General features: G+C 38.0%; 1 protein-coding gene across 9 annotated transcripts in view; it reads left to right on the forward strand.

Moving 5' to 3' along the window:
* Positions 1 to 22,282, forward strand: part of CLCN3 (chloride voltage-gated channel 3) — a 103,096-nt gene that overhangs the window by 45,804 nt on the left and 35,010 nt on the right. For all 9 annotated transcript variants that reach the window (NM_173872.4, NM_001829.4, NM_001243372.2 and 6 more), the window contains 2 exons: positions 13,669 to 13,826; positions 21,277 to 21,376. In NM_173872.4, the coding sequence (NP_776297.2) occupies positions 13,669 to 13,826; positions 21,277 to 21,376 (258 nt within the window). The remainder of the gene's footprint in view (positions 1 to 13,668; positions 13,827 to 21,276; positions 21,377 to 22,282) is intronic.

Consider the following 22,282-nt stretch of genomic DNA (forward strand, 5'->3'; position numbering starts at 1 on the left):
ATAAGATGTCGGGAACAACTGAGGGTAAGAATGGGGATGCATTACTATCGTAAACTTCTGCTAAAGCATAAGGATGTGAGTGCTGGGAGCAAAGCAGTGCTCACCACTTCTGCAATTTTCTATTGCAGCATTTTAAATAATATGGGAAAAAGTGGACTGCAACCAAAGGCAAAGAGGGATGGTGATGGTGAAGGGTAAGATTGTATTTATTGTCCAAAGGCTAAGTGCATATACATATGTGTTTGGGAGAAGGCATCACGTAATAGTTCTTAACCTACTCTGAGAGAAGGTTGTCCACATTTCTTAAAGTATACATGTAAACCAACAATGAAATTATTTTAGTGACTTGAGAATCAAAGTGCTAGAGTTTGAATCCCTGTTCTACTACTTGCTAGCGGTGTGACCTTGGGCCTGTTTAACTCTTGACACCTTGTTTTCCAAATTTATAAAGTGGAGATAATAATATCTGTCACATTGTGTTGTTGTGAGGATTATATGAACTAATATATGTAATGTCCTGAGAACAATGTCTGGTACACATTAAGTTAATTAAAATTAGCTGTTCTTACTGTTATTATTAGACATGAGCTAGATAACAGTGGCCTCTACATGGGAAAGATTATTTTAATTCTGATGTAGTTCAGTTTATCTATTTTTTTTATTTTTGTCCCTTTTGCATTGATGTCATATCTAAAAAACCTGCCTAACTCAGGATCACAAAAATTTACTCCTGTATTTTATAATTTTAGCTCTTTAGATCTAGGATCCATTTTTAGCTAATTTTTATATATGGTGTGAGGTAGGGGTACGGTTTCATTCTTTTGCACGTGAATAGCCAGTTGTCCCAGCATCATTTATTCAAAAGACTATTCTTTCCTCACTAGAAAAAATATTTCTTTAAAGAATAATGAATCCTTTTTTTTTTCTTTTTAACCGCTGTTACTCAGTTGGAAAAAGAATAATGAATAATTTTAAGTAATTTTCCTACAGGTAAATTTAAGTCTTTATGTTTAGATTACACATATTAGGAAATAATGGATTTGTATTCCATAGGTATGCTTGATCTTTATAAAGTTCCCTGTCTCTGGAAAAACTAAAATAAGGCAAAACAATCTTCTTAGTAGAGTTATTTTTACAAGAAAGTTGCAAGCCAGTTTTAGTTCATCGATTGGATAATTTTTCCTGCTTGCTGGAGGTATTTCAGTATTGGTAATACCTGAACTATGAGATGCATGAATGATGCATTTTAGGAATTTGTTTCTGTGTCCATACCAGGCATAATGAATTAAGTTATCTGTTAAAAATACAGGATTTTTGCTCAATATACAGTTGTAGAAGAACTCATTGTCCAAATTTTTAAGACTTTTTTTTCTTTTTTTTTTTGAGATGGATCTCGCTCTGTCGCCCAGGTTGGAGTGCAGTGGCACAACCTCCACTCACTGCAACCTCCACCTCCAGGGTTCAAGTGATTCTGCTGCCTCAGCTTCCCGAGTAGCTGGGACTACAGGCATATGCCACTATGCCCGCCTGATTTTTTTTAGTAGAGATGGGGTTTCACCATATTGGCCAGGCTGCTCTTGAACTCCTGACCTCGTGATCCACCTGCCTCAGCCTCCCAAAGTTCTGAGATTACAGGTGTGAGCCACCGCGCCCGGCCAGACATTTTTTTTTTTTTTTTTTTTTTTGCTGTCTTTGTCATATTGTTAGTCTTTTGGTTAAGCGATATTATAACTTAGTCATATGAGTAATATAATGCAACATGCTGAATTGTGTGTGTGAGAGGGGGTTGTTTTTTGTTTGTTATTTGTTTTTTAAATAGAGATGAGATCTCACTGTGTTTCCCAGGCTCCCTTGAACTCCTGGGCTCAGATGATATAGCCTCCTGCCACAGCGTCCTGATTAGCTGGGACTACAGGTGTGCACCACTACACGTGGCTTTCCTGATGAAATTTTAAATACCCAAATATTTGAGCAGAAATAATAGCTTGTGTTTATTGTTTTTCTACTATCTGTCAAGTATAGTATTAAATGTTTTACATAATTTGTCTCCAGTCCACATACAATACTCTAGTAGAAGTGGGTAACAAAACCAAGGTACTCAAAGAGGTTAATAAGTAACTTGCGCTGGATCACAGAACTAACGGGAGGCAGGGCTGGAATTTGACTCTAGGTCTTTCTGACCTCAAAGTGCAGTAAAGTCATGGAATTTCTCTACTAGGCCACCTGGAAGAAAAGTGATCTTTTTTCCAGTCTTTTTTGTTACTGTTTTTCAGCCAGGAGATAGTAGAGTTAGGTAGTAGAATAGTAGTCACTGGCATCCGGTAGTCAGCCCTCCAAAAAAGTTTTTGATTTTTTTTTTTTTTTGTCTTAAACTTGGAAGCTACTAACTTTCAGGTCATACTTTCTTATCATCCAAGAGCTGGATATTTAGGTAGCAGAAACTATGGAATTATCCTAAGTCCTCTTGAAGCTTCAGCTGTTAAAATTAATTGGTTCTGATTAACACTGTGCTCAAGATTTACATTTCTAGGAGCCACAGTTTGATTGGTCTAACTTGGATCTATGTGTTTTCTTTAGCTGGGGAGGAGAAGGTATCTTGATTGATACCTTCACCAGGACTGCATGCAGTGAGGGACAGAAGTTTCCTTAAAATAATTGGGTTCTGTTATAGGAAGAAGGGGAAGGAGATACCAAGTGGGCAAAACAATCAGGTTCTATTACATAAATAATAAACCTAATGTGACGATAATAAATGGATAATATGATTATTTTAAGTTTGGAAATATACCTGGTTATTAGTATTGGATATCTGGTAGTGGGGTTGGAGAAAAAGTCGAGAATAAGAAAAGACTTAAAATCGTAAAAATTAACTGGAAAAGAGGATGGCTGAGCAGATACATATATGTTAGATAATGTTCATAATGGCAAACCAACCTGAAGATTTGTTTAAATTGTAGTATGTAGCCAGGTGTGGTGGTGCTTGCCTGCAGTCCCAACTACTTGGGAGGCTGAGGCAGGATGATTGCTTGAGCCTAGGTTTGAGGCTACAGTGAGCTATGTTTCCACCACTGCTTTCCAGCCTAGGTGGCAGAGCAAGACCCCATCTCTAAAAAAATAAAGTAAAATGAATAAATTATAATATGTTATGACAAATATAGTTATCTGAAGTCACAGAAAATGTGCATGTGCATTTAATGATGTGAAATAATTTTTAGGAAGTATGAATAAAAAAATCAACTTTTAAGTGTGGCTAGTATGATCTTACCTGTATCTCACTTATAGAAAATATAAAAGGCTGAAGCCAGTCACCAGTTTAATAGTTCTAACCTCTTGTTTACTTGATTCCCTTTTTTCTCCTCCCCAGCAATCCTCATATAGTTAGGTAAAGTTGGTTCTTCATCAGGCTTGTTGCAGAAACCCCTAAGCCTTTTTACTTAAAGCTTTTTGAAACCCAGAAACCCATCTTTTGAATTCAAAAGTTTTGACTGTTATTAGTCTTTTTGTATGTTTGTTGGCCGCATAAATGTCTCCTTTTTATGAACAGAGAAGTGTCTGTTAATATACTTTGCCCACTTTTTGATGGGGTTGTTTGTTTTTTTCTTGTACATTTGTTTAAGTTCCTTGTAGATTCTGGATATTAGACCTATGTCAGATGGATAGATTGCAAAAGTTTTCTCCCATTCTGTAGGTTGCTTGTTCATTCTGATGATAGTTTCTTTTACTGTGCAGAAGCTCTTTAGTTTAATTAGATCCTATTTGTCTGTTTTGGCTTTTGTCGCCATTGCTTTTGGTGTTTCAGTCATGAAGTCTTTGCCAGTGCCTATGTCCTGAATGGTATTGCCTAGGTTTTCATGGTTTTGGGTTTTACATTTAAGCCTCAAATCGATCTTGAGTTAATTTTTGTATAAGGTGTAAGGAAGGGGTCCAGTTCCAGTTTTCTGCATATGGATAGCCAGTTTTCCCAGCACCATTTATTAATATTAAATAGGGAATCCTTTCCCCATTACTTGTTTTTGTCAAGTTTGCTGAAGATCAGATGATTGTAGATGTGTGGTGTTATTTCTGAGGTCTTTGTTCTGTTCCGTTGGTCTGTATATGTGTTTTGGTACCAGTACTATGCTGTTTTGGTTACTGAGCCTTGTAGTATAGTTTGAAGTCAGGTAGTATGATGCCTCCAGCTTTGTTATTTTTGCTTAGGATTGTCTTGGCCATACGGGCTCTTTTTTGGTTCCATATGAAATTTAAAGTAGGTTTTTCTAATTTTGTGAGGAAAGTCAATGGTAGCTTGATGGGAATAGCGTTGAATCTATAAATTACTTCGGGCAGTATGGCCATTTTCATGATATTGATTCTTCCTATCCATGAGCATGGAATGTTTTTCCATTTGTTTGTGTCGTTTCTTATTTCCTTGGGCAGTGGTTTGTAGTTCTCCTTGAACAGGTCCTTCACGTCTCTTTTAAGTTGTACTCATCATCACTGATCATTAGAGAAATGAAAATCAAAACCACAATGAGATGTCATCTCATGCCAGTCAAATGGTGATTATTATAAAAAGTCAAAAAAGAATAGATGTGGGTAAGGCTGTGGAGAAATAGGAATGCTTTTACACTGTTGGTGGGAGTGTAAATTAGTTCAACCATTGTGGAAGACAGTATGGCGATTCCTCAAGGATCTAGAACCAGAAATACCATTTGACCCAGCAGTCCCATTACTGGGTGTATACCCAAAGGATTATAAATCATTCTGCTATAAAGACACATGCACACGTATGTTTATTATAGCACTATTTACAATAGCAAAGACTTGAAACCAACCCAAAAAGCCATCAATGGTAGACTGGATAAAGAAAATGTGGCACATATATACCATGGAATACTATGCAGCCATAAAAAAGAATGAGATCGTGTCCTTTGCAGGGACATGGATGAAGCTGGAAGCCATCATTCTCAGCAAACTAACACAGAAATAGAAAGCCAAACACTGCATGTTCTCACTTATAAGTGGGAGTTGAACAATGAGAGCACATGGACACAGGGAGGGGAACATCACACACCGAGGCCTGTTGGAGGGTGGGGGACAAGGGGAGGGAGAGCATTAGGACAAATACATAATGCATTTGGGGTTTAAAACCTAAACGATGGGTTGGTAAGTGCAGCAAACCACCATGGCACATGTGCACCTATGTAACAAACCTGCACATTCTGAACATGTATCCCAGAACTTAAATTTAAAAAAAAAGAATTTTTCTCCTCTGTGGGTTTCAGAAGCCTACATTTGAAACTGGGATACTGTAATATCGAATCGTGTTCTCCATGCTCTGCTGTGTATTTCTTTTCCTATGGCAATGGATGTCTCTGACTGAATTGGTGTGGGGAAGGTGTGTGGAGGGGTCAAGAAAATAGCATGGACTAAGGAACTTGCTTAGTCTTTCCTGGAGGTGTTCCACTACAGCTCTACTACTGTCTTCACAGGTAAGTGAGAACTGCATATGCTTTGAGAAATGGCTGATCCAAGGCAAATCCTGTCATTTTAGGTTAATAAAATCTAACTGTGAGCACAGTGGCTCACGCCTGTAATCCCGACACTTTGGGAGGCCGAGGCGGGCAGATCACGAGGTCAGGAGATTGAGACCATCCTGGCTAACACCGTGAAACCCCGTCTCTACTAAAAATAAAAAAAAATTAGCCGGGCGTGGTGGTGGGCGCCTGTAGTCCCAGCTACTCGGGAGGCTGAGGCAGGAGAATGGCCTGAACCCGGGAGGCAGAGCTTGCAGTGAGCCGAGATCGCGCCACTGCACTCCAGCCTGGGTGACAGAGCGAGTCTCCATCTCAAAATAAATGATAGATAGATAGATAGATAGATAGATAGATAGATAGATAAAATGAGGATCTGGGACTACAGACGTGCACCACCACACCCAGATAATTTTTGTATTTTTAATGAAGTCGGGGATTCACCATGTTAGCCAGTTTAGTCTCAAACCCCTGGTCTCAAGTGAGCTGCCTGCCTCAGCCTCCCGAAGTGCTGGGATTACAGGTGTGAGTCACCACGCCCAGCCTTTGATATATTATTATAGGAAAAAAGAGGAGATGTACTTTATGTAGAAGAGAACTTTAATTTATGCTGTGACGGTACCTAAAAGATACATCCTTTATTCATGCGTAAGATGAAATCGAGAGGTGAAATTGGATATACTGTTGCTTTTAAAAAATTTTAACATATATGTAATTTTTTGTACTTATCTCATTTTAGCCTATATAAGTTATATATATTTTGTTTGTTTGTTTGTTTGTTTTGTTTGAGATGGAGTCTTGCTCTGTCACCCAGGCTAGAGTGCAGTGGTGCAATCTCGGCTCACTGCAACCTTCGCCTCCTGCATTCAAGCGATTCTCCTGCCTCAGCCTCCTGAATAGCTGGGATTACAGGCACCTGCCACCGCGCCCAGCTAATTTTTTTTATTTTTAGTAGAGACAGGGTTTCACCATCTTGGCCAGGCTGGTCTTGAACTCCTGACCTTGTGATCCATGTGCCTTAGCCTCCCAAAGTGCTGGGATTACAAGCGGGAGCCACCGCGCCCGGCTGTAAGTTATATCTTACACAAATCTAGGTTTCATTCAGAGAATTATATGCAAAGAAACAGTGCAATAGGATTATTTTAAAGCTATTGTTATTGTTAGAAAACATAATACCTTTAAAATTCCTTTTCACATTAGAAATATAGTGGCTTCTCCCCAGTTTAGGATAGAAATTTTCCTTTTCTTCTCCTTCTTTATACTATTCAGATTTGCATGTTTGACAGAACAAATTATAAGAGAAAATATTTGAAATGTCACATACTAAAGTAAATGTTTGAATGTTTGAAAATTTTCTGGTTTTCAGAGATTTTGAATTGCTGAATCGTTGTGTAAATTAAGATGTTGAGTAGTTTCCACAGAGTAATTATTTGAAAGTCACTGAAAGCAAGACACATGCCTAATGTAAATGTTTATTGCACTACTGTACCTTTTTCTACCTCATAAAAATGAGAATAGCAGTCTGTACTTTTCCACTTCGTCATTCGTAAGTCTTTGCAGAAATTCATATTTTGTTTGCTTATTATCTTCACGCTGTAAATAGCTTGAAAATTCTTTAAGTGGGGCTAGCGATGTATTATGGATACATGTTAAGTGGTATAGAAATTTCACTTTTTTTTTTTTGCATAAAGAGTAACAAGACCAGTAGTCCATATTTCTTCAGCTCTACCCAGAGAAGGGCAATGTAGGAGGGAAAATGAAGTTTGCAAAATATTTCATAGTAGGCTTTTTCTTAAAGTAACTTCAGACTTACAGAAGTTTAAAAATAGTACAAAGAATCCCATATACCTGTCACCCCAATTCCTGAAATATTAATATTTTACCACATTTGTTCATTATGTCTGTATTCTCCAAGTACGATATATGCCATTATATGTAATATGTAGCATTTTATATAGACATAGGGCATGTATGCACTATATATTTTTTTCTGAGCCACATAAAGAGTAAAACGCAGACATGACGTGCTTTTACTCCTAAATACTTCAGTGTGTGTATTCCCTCAAGAAAGGGCATTTTCTTCTGTATAGCTACCGTACACTTCTACACTTTTCAAAATCAGAACATTTACATTGATACCATACTATGACATGATCTGCAGACCATTTTCCAATATGCCAGTTGTCCCACTGTGTCCTTTAGTACAAAAGAAAAAAGTTTTTTTTCCTGGTCTAGGAGCTAATCCTGGAGCACATGTTACATCCTGTTGTTTTAATCTAGAACCGTTCCTCAGTTCTTTATCTTTCATAACCTTGACATTTTTGGAGAGTACAATCCATATATTTTGCAGAATTTCCCTTAGTTTGGGTGTGTCTGGTTTTTCCTTATAAGATTCATTTTATGCATTTCTGGCCAGAGTACCACAGAAGTACTGTATATCTTACCAGAAAGCCTAAGTGGCATTTGCATTTTCTAAATGATCAATTTTAATATTATATGGAAAGCAGAGTCAGAGATTCTCACATATGTCAAGATATTATAAGTATTCCTGTTATATTTATTCTCCAATTGCTTTTTCTCAAGAAAATTTGTGGCCTTTCAGCTAGCTTTTCAAAGTGGAAGTTACTACATAACATTAGGATGGGAGGGTGGGGAAGAGCTTTATTAAAGCTTTAAGATTGAGCTTTTGAGTATGTGTTGTATGTAAATGAAAGTGGGCATTGATGCAGGGATTGGGCCTTTAAACCTTTGGCCAAGAATGGTATCAATTATTATTATTATTATTTTTTGGAGTACTTCTGCTAAAACACTGAAATCAGTGTGCCACTCTCCTTTTAGAAGTTTTACACCTTTCCAAGGTACACTTTTTTTTTTGGAGACGAGTTTTGCTCTGTCGCCCAGGCTGGAGTGCATTGGCGCAATCACAGCCCACTTCAGCCTCTGTTTCCCAGACTCCAGCAGTCCTTCCACTTCAGCCTCCCGAGTAGCTGGGATTACAGGTGCACACCACCATGCCCAGCTAGTTTTTGTAGAGATGGGGTTTTGCCATGTTGCCCAGGCTGGTCTCCAACTCCTGCGCTCAATCTATCCGTCCTCCTCAGCCTGCCAAAGTACTGGGATTACAGGCGTGGGCCACCACTCCCGGCTTCCAAGGCAGGCATTTAAATGTAATAAATAGGGAGATAAGCAAGAACCCTGTTGGACCTGGTAGAAGCAAACATTTATTAGTACTATTACGTTGTTTAAAATATTAGCGCCTTCTATATTCATGTCCTCCCAGAATTATCAAAAAACCTACTCTATAGTTTATTTGGCTTATATCTCAGGAGTAATAAAATTAGTTAATAGTATTGGCATCGTGGTTCTTTGTGTATTCCTCCCTTATCCCACCCCAAGTTGATTTCACATGATCTCTTGATCTAGTCTAAGAATGTTTATAGTGATTACGAGAAGTTCAGATTCTGGCTTTAACATATATAATTGTTTTTTAATCTGTAAACCAAAGAGAATGAGTTTGTTTAAACTAGAAAGATGGCAAGAGTAGTCTGGGAATTTTGTTCCATTCCTTAAAAGTCCTATAATAAAATAAACATATCTTGTGTTTTATTTTTACAATTTTTTTAAACATTAGTACAGAGTGCCACTTCTTATATTCTATATCAAATAATGAGCTACATTTTCAATAATAACCTCTGAGTAATTTTTGGCATTAAAATCTGCATTACAAAATAATTTGAGGATATAATTTATAATCACTTATGCTAAAATCACCTATTTGAAATTATGTATGAGGTTTTCAAAGTTTATAGTGCTTTGGAAAAAATTTAAATGTTTCTTTGTTTATGTATCTTTATTATAAGCTGTAGCATATATCATGTAGTTGTCAAGGATGCTGATAGATACTTAATATTTAAAGGAGACTTGTCTAAAGTTAGCTGTCCAGGACTAGAATCTGGGCCTTTTGGTAACAGTTCATTGCTCTATTTACTTAAATGATGATTGGATTCGTTAGAATTTCTCTATTTTCATAGCTGTCTCTATGGTTCTATGAAAATACTGTGTGTGTGCTTATACATATATGTATACCTGTAAGTACAAAGTAGAAAATGAAAGTTCATTTTCTGCTTTTGACAATTGTAATCCCCAGAGATAACCGTTATTAATATGTTGTCTCATGTTTGGTCATACTGTTTTCTCTGTATTCTGTGTATTACTGTATAAATTTTACACAGTAATTTGCATATTAAAAATGCTGGTCTACACCTGGCCCTTTTTTAAAAACTGCAATTTATTATGGCCAATTTTTTATACCAGTATATATTGATCAACCTTATTCTTTTTAACTGCTGCATTTCATTCATTACCAATAGATGAGACATTTCCATAGGTTTGAATTTTTCAGTATTACAGATAATGGTTCAATTAAATATTTAAGCTTTTGTGCACTTGTAGAATTAATTCCTAGACATAGAACCCTTATATTTTGATAGGTATTTCCAAATTTCTTCCCAAAATGTTTGTATCTCTTTACTTCCACTCTCAGGTCTAATAATTTTCACTTGGATTATCATATTTCTTACCCAGCCTGTTTTTTACACTCTAAACTCTTTTTCTTTTCTTTTTTTTTTTGAGACAGCATCTTGCTCTTGGCCCGGTTGAAATGCAGTGGCACGACGACCAACCTGGGCTCAAGCAATTCTCTCAACTTAGCCTACTGAGTAGCTGGGACTACAGACACATATCACCATGCCCAGCATTTTTTTTTTTTTTTTTTTGTATTTTTAGTAGAGATGAGGTTTTGCCATGTTGCCCAAGCTGGTCTCAAATTCCTGAGCTCAAGCAATCCACCCATCTCAGCCTCCCAAAATGCTGGGATTACAAGCGTGAGCCACTGCACCTGGCCCAAAAGCTCTTTTTCTAATAGCAATATAAATTGTCTTTTACAGACTATACTCATATATGTTTCTTCTTTCAGAAATAGGTGTTAAGTGTATCTAACATGGAATGTATAGCTATAATTCTCATTGTGAAACCATAGCCTAATTTATTTCATATTACAATTTAAAATTCATATTTTTTAGGAAGTTTTCTTAGATTAATCCGCCTAGTTCCAGGTGCTACAGTCCCAAGATTTCTTTCTTTTTAACAAATTAAATATAGGTAACATGACTAGAATTGTAGTCAAAGAATATTGGAACCTTGGAACTTCAGTATTTGAACTTTATTTTGAAATATAATTTGTTATATTATAAAAATATTATAATATATTGCACCTGGAAGTTAGGGGCAGTTTTTTTTAATTCTCTTTGTATCTGCTACACTGTAAAGTGCTATTTATGTAAAAAATTCTTAATAGAAGTCTTCAGTTGTAAAGTCTGCTGTACAGACTTTAGATCAGGGATTGGCAAACTATGAGCCATGTGCCAAATCCTGCCCTTCACCTGTTTTGTAAATAAAGTTTTATCAGAACACATTCAGACTCATTCATGAACATATTGTCTATGATTTATTTTCTGCTACTATGGCAGAATTGAGTTGTTGCAACTGTGTGGCATCCAAAGCCTAAAATATTTACTCTCTGGCTCTTTGCCAACCCGTTTTAGATTATGAGCACTTTGGCATTATTATGTTTTTGTTTTCTTTCTATAGCACACAGTAAGATGTTCTGCCCACATTGTGCATAATTTATGGGTTTATTCAAGGATTTATGCAAGTGTAGCTGCAAGAAAAAAACCTAGAAGTGAACTTGCTAGGTTGAAGAGCATCTGTGTATGTTAAATTTTGTTAGCTTTCGCCTTCCCAAAGGGATTATTCCATTTCATACTTAAACTACTAATTTTGTGATAGGACTTCTTTCTCCATAGCTTTGCTAAATTAATGCATTCACACACTTCATCTTTACTAATCTGATAGAGGGAAATGATATTGTGGATTTGATTTCCATTTCTTTTTATGTGTTAGCTTGAGCTTATTTTCATATTTAAAAGCCAATTGTATTTCTTTTTCTTGAGCTATCTTTTAATGTCCTTCCTGATACATTTCTGAAGTCTGTGATACTCATATAAGATATATGGTGAACATGTGTCAAAGATTTATTTGACTCTAATGAGGGAACCCGCCTGATGACAAGGCTGATTGAGAAGAGGATGTGTGAGATGAAGTGTATATCATCAGTGAAAGAAAGCAAATTCTTACAGGGCAAAAACAAAACCACAACTCTAAGGGTTATTGTTTCTACTGGACAGAATTCATTTGCATTTTACCAGATAAAAATTACTATTTTCAATTTATCTTTTACAAATCATTTTCTAATTTTACAGAGTCTATTCCCTAATCAGTAGTAAATAGTCTTCAAAATTCTCCGCAGCGTCAGGTGACTATTATGCAGGCTAATTGTTGACACTCGGGCTTGACTTTAAGAGAACATGCCATAATCTTTTGGCCTTACTTCCAAGTTTTGGATAATTTTTCTTAACACATTTTTCTCTAATTGCAATGATTTCAAGTGATATTATTTCTTTTTTTTAAATTTTTTTACTATTTATTGATCACTCTTGGGTGTTTCTCGGAGAGGGGGATTTGGCAGGGTCATAGGACAATAGTGGAGGGAAGGTCAGCAGATAAACATGTGAACAAAGGTCTCTGGTTTTCCTAGGCAGAGGACCCTGCGGCCTTCCACAGTGTTTGTGTCCCTGGGTACTTGAGATTAGGGAGTGGTGATGACTCTTAATGAGCATGCTGCCTTCAAGCATCTGTTTAACAAAGCACATCTTGCACCGCCCTTAATCCCTTTAACCCTGAGTTGACATAGCACATGTTTCAGAGAGCAGGGGGTTGGGGGTAAGGTTATGGATTAACAGCATCCCAAGGCAGAAGAATTTTTCTTAGTACAGAACAAAATGGAGTCTCCTGTGTCTACTTCTTTCTACACAGACACAGTAACAATCTGATCTCTCTTTTCCCCATATTTCCCCTTTTCTATTTGACAAAACTGCCATCCTCACCATGGCCCGTTCTCAATGAGCTGTTGGGTACACCTCCCAGACAGGGTGGCGGCCAGGCAGAGGGGCTCCTCACTTCCCACACTGGGCGGCCGGGCGGAGGCGCCCCCCACCTCCCAGACGGGGCGGCTGCCGGGCGGGGGCGCCCCCCACCTCCCAGACTGGGTGGCCGGGCGGAGACGCTCCTCACTTCCCAGATGGGGCGGCTGCCGGGCGGAGGGGCTCCTCACTTCTCAGATGGGGTCGCGGCTGGGCAGAGGTGCTCCTCACCTCCCAGACAGGGTGGCGGCTGGGCAGAGACGCTCCTCACCTCCCAGACGGGGCAGCCGGGCAGAGGCGCTCCTCACATCCCAGAGGGGGCGGCCGGGCAGAGGCGCTCCCCACGTCCCAGACGATGGGCGGCCGGGCAGAGACGCTCCTCACTTCCTAGACGGGATGGCGGCGGGGAAGAGGCGCTCCTCACTTCCTAGATGGGATGGCGGCCGGGAAGAGGTGCTCCTCACTTCCTAGACTGGGCGGCCGGGCAGAGGGGCTTCTCACATCCCAGACGATGGGCAGTCAGGCAGAGACGCTCCTCACTTCCTAGACGGGGTGGCGGCCGGGCAGAGGCTGCAATCTCAGCACTTTGGGAGGCCAAGGCAGGCGGCTGGCAGGTGGAGGTTGTAGCGAGCCGAGATCACGCCACTGCACTCCAGCCTGGGCAACATTGAGCACTGAGTGAGCGAGACTCCGTCTGCAATCCCGGCACCTTGGGAGGCCGAGGCGGGCAGATCACTCGAGGTCAGGAGCTGGAGACCAGCCCGGCCAACACGGCAAAACCCCATCTCCACCAAAAAATACAAAAATCAGTCAGGCGTGGCGGCGCGTGCCTGCAATCCCAGGCACTCGGCAGGCTGAGGCAGGAGAATCAGGCAGGGAGGTTGCAGTGAGCTGAGATCGCGGCAGTACAGTCCAGCCTTGGCAACAGAGGGAGACCGTGGAAGGCGGGAGTCGGAGACGAGGGAGAGGGGGAGACCGTGGAAAGCGGGAGGTGGAGACGAGGGAGAGGGAGAGGGATTATTTCTGTATGACTTAATAATGAATTTCTAAGAAGGTCACTTAGCTCACTGTTGTCTCTTCTAAAACATACTCATCTTTCCTTTTCTCTTCTGTAGGAACTCATTATACAATGACAAATGGAGGCAGCATTAACAGTTCTACACATTTACTGGATCTTTTGGATGAACCAATTCCAGGTGTTGGTACATATGATGATTTCCATACTATTGATTGGGTGCGAGAAAAATGTAAAGACAGAGAAAGGCATAGACGGGTAAGTGTTTTTAGTAAAAATTTTTAAAAACATAGTGCATAATTAGATCTTTTAATAATATATTTCTGCCAATGATCTCAGGCTGCCAAATGTTTACATTTAATATAAGTAAATGTCTACATTTCATATGTGGTACATGTTTTTTTCTTTTTCTATGTTTAATTTTTTTAGTTTACTTATACCCTGTAACTTTCCAGAAAGGATTTCAGGTAGCTAAAAAACAAAGAAATACAATAAGAAGACAAAATAAGAAGGAAAGGGAAAAATACAGCACAGGAGTTGGGGGGAAGAACAAGCCAAGTTCCAGATATGGAGGTCAGCATGATTTTGGGCTTTGAGCAGCCCACCAGCTAAGGCAAAAAAGGAAACTCATTGCATAGCTCTTACCTATGGAAAAAGAAGAAATCTACTGGGGGCAGATGGTCTTGTGGGATTTTGCTGTTTTCTTTTATCTCCTTTCCCAGCATTTGATTCTGAGATATTTCTCAATTTGGCTCCCAAATAAAGCTTATTGAGTGTTGTAATGGTTTACTGTTTTTTTTAAAAATGGCTTTAACATATAAAAGTACAACTTATGGATCCTTTTTGTTTGTGGTCGTGACTTACTGATAATATAATCCAAAATACATTTTTTATTTTGTATTTATTTATTTATTTTTGAGACGGAGTCTCAGTCTTCTGCCCATGCTGGAGTATAGTGGTGTGATATTGGCTCACTGCACCCTCCGCCTCCTGGATTCAAGCGATGCTCCTGCCTCAGCCTCCTGAGTAGCTGAGACTACAAACGTACGCCACCATGCCTGGCTAGTTTTTATACAAAATACGTTTTTTAAAAAACAATTTTTTTTTTGGAGGTCGGGGGACCGTCGCCCATTCTGTTGCCCAAACTGGAGTGCAGTGGTGCAATCTTGGCTCACTGCAACCTCTGCCTCCCAGGTTCAAGCGATTCTTGTACTCAGCCTCCTGAGTAGCTGGAATTATAGGTGTGTGCCATCATGCCAAGCTAATTTTTGTATTTTTAGTAGAGATGAAGTTTCGCCATGTTGGCGAGGCTAGTCTCAGACTCCTGGCCTCAAGTGATTGGCTGACCTCAGCCTCCCAAAGTAGAAAATCTTCTTGAAAAATAAAATTCCAAATCTCAAAAGGCCCTATATAATTTTGGTGTTGGAAATTTACTTGTCAATGAAAATGACTATTTACACAAATTATAAGCTTCCATATTAATATATATGTGTGTGAACCTGAAATTCAAATTTTATTATATTGTTTATGAAAGGTACAGCCTCTGAGATTCATCAGATGGTATTTACCTTTAGGGCATATCTAAAAATAAAATACAGTACATGAAATCCAGTGCTTTAATCCAGTGATTCTTAAACTTTTTGCTCTCAGATCCCCTTTAAACTCTTAAAAGATATTGAAGAGCTCCAAGGAGGCTTTGTTTACGTGGTTTTTATCAATGGATATTTACCATATTAGACACTGAAACTGAGGATTTTAAAAAAAAATAATTCATTTAAAAATAACAGTAACAAAACCCATTACATGTTGACATAAATAACATTTTTACGAAACTATATTTTCAAAAATTAGTGAGAGAATGACATTGTGCTACATTTGTTATAAATCTCATTATTGTCTGGCTTAATAAAACACTGCTGGATTCTCATATCTGCTTTTGCAGTCAATATGTTGTATGTTGTTTTTATGGAAGTATGTGAAGAAATTCAACCTCATACACAGATAATATAGTTGGAAAAGCTATGAGTATTTTAATAGTCTTTTAAGATTATTGCAAATATTCTTCTTTGATACTACACTAAAGTGACAGTTGTTAGTTTCTTAAAGATTAGTTGTAATGTGTACTTTGAAACTGCATCAATGAACTTTGTCTTCTGTTACATTAAAATCCATTGATTTTGAATATATGATTTTGTAACATTATGCAGTGATCATTTAGAAAATATTGATTCACTGATTTATGTGGATCTTTTAAATGTTGACACTTATATAATATAATACAATATTTTAAAAATCACATTTGTTAATTTTACCTTTGATCTATTCAGAAAAGACTCTAAGTATTGGGAACCTATCATCCTCACAGTGATAGATACAAGTTTCCTAAAATTCTGATTTTTACTGGAGAGCTCAAATTCTATCATTGGAAACAAATACACATTTATTTAACTTAAAAATGACAGGATTACTTGGTTTCATTATTGAGAAAATACCTGTCAAATTCCCAAGTCTGGAAAACCATAGTTTGATGTCACTCTTTCAAGTAAAAATGGCATTCCATGTAAGAAGTGTCTAGTTTATTATGCAACTCAAATAAATTACGCAAGTGCTTTTCTTTAGGACATAACTTCATACATACTTCCACAAGCAGCAGATGTGTGTAGTTATGCATAGTTCCTTATGCATGGTTCTTATTTCATCACACAAAATATTAAAAAGACTCAGTGATTGAGACGTAGCAGTTTTTACTGCTTCATCAAAGATGCTCTTATTTGAAACTGGCATAATATGATTTATTTATTTGATTTTACTGGGAAGCATGGCAGTCAAGAATGTAATGACTGCCAGTACATTTGAGTGCCACTGCTTGATTTTTGCTATGGAGTCAGCAATTTTGCCACTGGTTTTGCATTTTCAGTAAAAATGTCAACACAGTGAAAAAGGCACATAATGTCTTGTATTATTTTGTAAACAGTTTTATCTTGCAGACCCCTTGAAAAGGTCTCGGGGATCCTCCAAGGTGCCAGTAGACCGTACTTTGAAAATCACTATTTTAATCCAAAGTGCCTAGATCAGACACACTATAAATCCTGTGTCTTGTATGATCATTAGGTAAATACATTTGTACTTAGAAGTATACATTCAGAGACATTAACAGTATTCAGGTTGGGATTTAAGTATATTTTAAAGTGTGGTACCTAGAGAGTATCCATGACACTATGTTCATAAAATTTTAGAGAAAACTGAGATCAAAGGAAACCAAAACAGGCTGGTCATAGTGGCTCATGCCTGTAATCCCAGTGCTTTGGAAGGTTGAGGCAGAGGATCGCTGGATCCCAGGAGTTTGAGACCAGCCTGGGCAAATATGGAGACTATCTCTACACAACAAAACAAAAATTAGCTGGGTATAGTGTCTTGCGCCTATAGTCCTAGCTACTCGGAAAGCTGAGGTGGGAGGATCCCTTGAGCCTGGAAGTTCTAAGTTACAGTGAATTATGATTGCACCACTGCCCTCCAACCTGGGTGAAACAGCAAGACCCTGTCACCCTCCAAAACAAACAAAAAACACTTTTTTCTCTGAGTATGTAAATGGTTAGTGTACAGTCCTTGAAAACATTGCAAATAGTATAGCAATATATGAAGTAGCCAGTATGTGTCCTAGCTAATTTTATCAATCATCTCTTCCTAGACCAATCAAATATTTTTCAATATTTTGATCCATGCTTATATGAACAAGATTTTTTAAAGCTGGAAAATTCCACACATTTATATACTTACTATTGTTCTTAAAATTAATTTTTTTTTTTTTTTTTTAAGCAGAGTCTTGCTCTTTTGCCCAGGCTGAAGTTCAGTGGTGCGATCTCGACTCCCTGCAACCTCTGCCTTCCAGGCTCAAGCAGCTCTCGTGCTTCAGCACCCCAAGTAACTGGGATTACAGGCATACGCCACCACACTGGCTAATTTTTGTAGTTTAAGTAGAGATGTGGTTTCGCCATGTTGGCCAGGCTGGTCTCAAACTCCCGGCCTCAAGTGATCCACCTGTCTCAGCCTCCCAAAATGTTGGGATTACAGGTGGGAGCCACTGCGCCCGGCCTACATTAAATTTTAAAGCCTTTCTATGTCAGTGCATATACCCAACCTAATTCTTTTTTTCCGTGAACTTTTTTGTTATGCTTGTAGCCTTCCTACCCCAGATTATTTCGAAGCAAATTGTCATTCTGTAATTTCAAATATTACTATTTCAGTATTTTACAAAATGGTTGCAGTTTAATTGTTGTTCCTTTTTTATTTATTAGCTTGCATATTTCTATAGAGAGTTTACCCCACATCAACCATTTGGATTACCTGAAGTAAGGGTGGTACAGGAAAGGGAGAAATCTTGAAATACTAGGTTCCTTAGCATCCTCAAAGTTGACCAATGAGATTTTTTGCTTGTTTGGTTGTTTTTTTCTGTGTCTTCATGGACTCATGGATTTAAGTATATTTGTGGTTTAATCATCACTGTTATTATTCTTATTGATGTTCATGTTATTTTAGATTAGTGGGAGCTTTTTTAGTTTGCTATCTGTGTCCTTCGTCATGTCCTTAGATAATCCTAATCCTAATCCTGATTCATCGTAGACATTTCCCGCAGCAAACCTGGAATCAGCCATTTCTCAAGGAGCTCTCTGATTCCATTGAAGGAAAATATAATATAGGTACAATCTAGGCACTAGGTGATACTTGTTACTTCTGGGTTGGCTATTGTTTCTAGCCTCCTAAGTTTATATGACTGTACTAATTTGAATTCATAACTATGGGACTAAACTTCTAATTCTTAAATCTGCATTTCCTTTAAGTCATGCCAAAAATCTGAACATCACAAACATAGTCATTTCGTTTACCCCACAATACACACATACAACATTGTCAGTATAACAGTACCAACACCATCTCCAACAATATGCCTACTGAAAAATTTTAGGTAATCTGTCTCCAGCCTCCCAGGTAGCTGGGACTGCAGGTGCACACCACCATGCCTGGCTAATTTTTTTTTTTTTTTTTTTTTTTAAGAGACTGGGTCTTGCTATGTTACTCAGGCTGGTCTGAAATTTCTGGCCTCTAACAGTCCTCCTGCCTTTGCCTTCCAAAGTGCAGAGATTACAGACCTGAGCCACCACGTCTGGCCTATCCTTTATTTATTCCACCAAAGTTATTTATACAAATTACTTTGTTGTAAAGTCCCTTGGAATAGTTTCTTCTGTGGCATTATGTTACCAGTTAGATGCACCTTTGATTCATTTAACTTTACTTCAATTTTTAAGGTTTGCTTTTTAGATTTAGTTTTGTTTTATTATACATATATGAAGTATTTCCACGGTTCCAAAGTTAAATGAACAAAACAGGCATGTTCAAAGAAGTCTAGTTTCTATCTCTGTCCCATCCAACCCATTGTCTTCTTCCCCTTATAAGTAATAATTTACATTTTTAACTTGTGGTTTATCTTCTGATTTTTAAAAATATAAGCATAAATATTTATATTCCTGTCTTTTAGCATGCTTTTAGCCATCTTGCTTTTTTCCTGTATAATGCTAAATATATCTCATTCTTTTTAATTGCTGCAGAATTTCTCATTACATAGGTATACTGCAATTTATTTATCTGATGCTATGTTGATGAACATTTAAATGATTTCCAGATTTTAGGAACGGTGATGATTGAACTCTCTGTACATATATCTTTTTTACTTGGTACACTCCATCAAGCAACTACTTAAGTGACTGACTATGATGCTGTGCAAGCAGTTATATAAAGAAAACAGCAGTGACTCAGCCTGAAAACGGCTTAATATTATCATGTTTTCTTACACATTATTTTTATTGAGGAAAAGCAACATGGAGTTTAGTGATTATTTTTGAAAGAAATAACCTATTTCTAATTCTAAAGAATGGTTAATATCTGTGTTTGGTTGCTTATAGGGTAGAAGGGGTAAAATTGCCTCATTCAACTTAGAACTTACCGTGTCATTTTAGTGGGGCGTTGTGACTTCAAATAGACCCGATTCTTGAAATAGACTGGGTCCATGTCCTTTGTTGGGACATGGATGAAGCTGGAAACCATCATTCTCAGCAAACTGTCGCAAGGACAAAAAACCAAACATCGCATGTTCTCACTCATAGGTGGGAATTGAACAATGAGAACACATGGACACAGGAAGGGGAACATCACACACTGGGGACTGTTGTGGGGTCGGGGAGTGGGGAGGGATAGCATTAGGAGATATACCTAATGCTAAATGACGAGTTAATGGATGCAGCACACCATCATGGCACATGTATACATATGTAACAAACCTGCACATTGTGCACATGTACCCTAAAACTTAAAGTATAATAATAAAAAAAAAAAAAGAAATAGACTGGGTCATTGAATTCCAGCTGTAGCCCTCCTTCAGAACAGTTGAGCACTGAAGTCCTGGGCTGAAAATTGACTTTTTTTTTTTTTTTGAGATGGAGTCTAGCTCTGTCACCCAGGCTGGAGTGCAGTGGCACGATCTCTGCTCACTGCCACCTCCGCCTCCCGGTTTCAAGTGATTCTCCTGCCTCAGCTTCCCAAGTAGCTGGGATTACAGGCGTTCGCCACCACACCCAGCTAATTTCTGTATTTTTAGTAGAGAAGGGGTTTCACTGTGTTGGCCAGACTGGTCTTGAACTTCTGACCTCGTGATCCACCTGCTTCGGACTCCCAAAGTGCTGGGATTACAAGCGTGAGCCACCACACCTGGCCAAAAATATGGGTTTCTAAAGCAACAGTCCTAGTACAACAGAAGAGAGGTGTTGACTAGTTAGGGATTTAGGTTTAGAAGTACATTCTTAGTAAGAGAGGTGAGACTTACCTTCTTGTGTTTTAGTATAGTGAGATCTGGATCAAATCTATTACTCTTATTAATCTCCTAACTTCCTACACTATATCCAGTAGAGGACACTTTTGCCTTACACAGTAAAGAAAGAGCCTCTGGACTCTACCAATGGGATCGGAGCTCTCCAAACCTGCATATTAAAAGGCCTATAAGTTTTGGGGGGTCCCTTTGTCCACATGATTATTCTGTAATACATTGTATTTATGGACATGGTATTATTATACACAGATCCTGTCTTTTAAAGAACATTATAATCCACTTAACTGCTAGGACCAGAGAATGACCGATAATTCAAACCATATTGTCTTACAGAAGACATATATAAAAGATGGTTATGTGTACCAATTGAGGTTCAAATTTGATTCAATTTAAAACAATCTAGGCCAGATTTTATATAGTTTGTGGACCCTTTGCACTCAAATCTCAAGGTTCTTATTAAAATGCAGATCTTGGCTGGGCACGGTGGCTCACACCTGTAATCCCAGCACTTTGGGAGCCCAAGGCAGGTAGATCATTTGAGCTCAGAAGTTCAAGACCAGTCTGGCCAACATAGCGAGGCCCAGTCTCATTGAAAGAAAAAAAATTTTTTAATAAAAAATAAAAGCAGATCTTGGGTAAAGACATGTAGTCTGGTTTACAGGTATTAACAACTGTCTGTAATGTAGTGATTTTGCTCCAGACTTACCTTTTCCATTATTTAGTTCTGAAATTACTGTTCTATGTATGGTAAATGAGAAAAATTGCTAGATTCTAGAACTGTGGCTTCTATTCATAGTTGGAAAAATGAAGCATAAACATTTCTAATTTCAGATCAACAGCAAAAAGAAAGAATCAGCATGGGAAATGACAAAAAGTTTGTATGATGCGTGGTCAGGATGGCTAGTAGTAACACTAACAGGATTGGCATCAGGTAAAGAAAATTTTTCAAGCAATCCTTTTTTAGTTAACAGAAGTATAAACTGTTCTTCCCTCCTTCCCTCAATTTTTTTTCAGGTACCATTGGATTTTAAAAAGCATTTGTTTCTCTTCTTCAAAAAATCTCCTTAAATATAAGACTAGGAGGCAGAGGCTTCCAAGTCTAGTCTTGGCTCTATCACTTTACGTGTTTATCCAGCTTGGTTGATCTTTCTGGACTCAGTTTCTATATCTGTAAAATAAGTGGTTTGGATCAGATGATCAATAAAGTATCTTTTGATATTAACATCGTAATAAATAGCTAATATTTCTTGAGTGCTTCCTATGTGTTGTACACTGTTCTAAAAACTTGACATGTATTTAAACCTCACCGGAATCCTGTGGTACCAGTGCTGTCATTATCACCATTTTGCAGATGAGGAGACTGAAGCAGAAGAAAAGTAACTTAGTTTGACTGAGGTCATACAGTTTAGTAAATGGCTAAACCAGGATTTGAATTAAAGCCTTCTAGCTCAAGACCTATCCCCTTCATCACCCTGCTATACAGCGTGGCCACAAAGTCCCAATGTGTGAGATTTTAAGAAAGAGCTGTTGAGGACCTGAAAACAAATATTAAGCACTGTTATAATCACTTTCAGCTTCCATGATGGAAGATTATGTTCAGAAGACCATAAAAATTAAAATTTTTGTGGAGAATAAAGTACTGATAATTCTAATTGGCATGCATAGTAATTTTATGGCCTCTGTGTATGTAACCCACTGATCTCTTTATGTAAGAAGGACCCAGATTTGACCATAAATTTGTGTATTTTTTATATTCTCACAATAAAATAATCTTGATATATGGTTTTCTGTAATTTAAGAAAATATTATTCCTATGAGTTTCAATAATTATTTCTAA

This window comes from Homo sapiens, chromosome 4 (genome assembly GCF_000001405.40).
Source record: "Homo sapiens chromosome 4, GRCh38.p14 Primary Assembly".
NCBI lineage: Eukaryota > Metazoa > Chordata > Mammalia > Primates > Hominidae > Homo > Homo sapiens.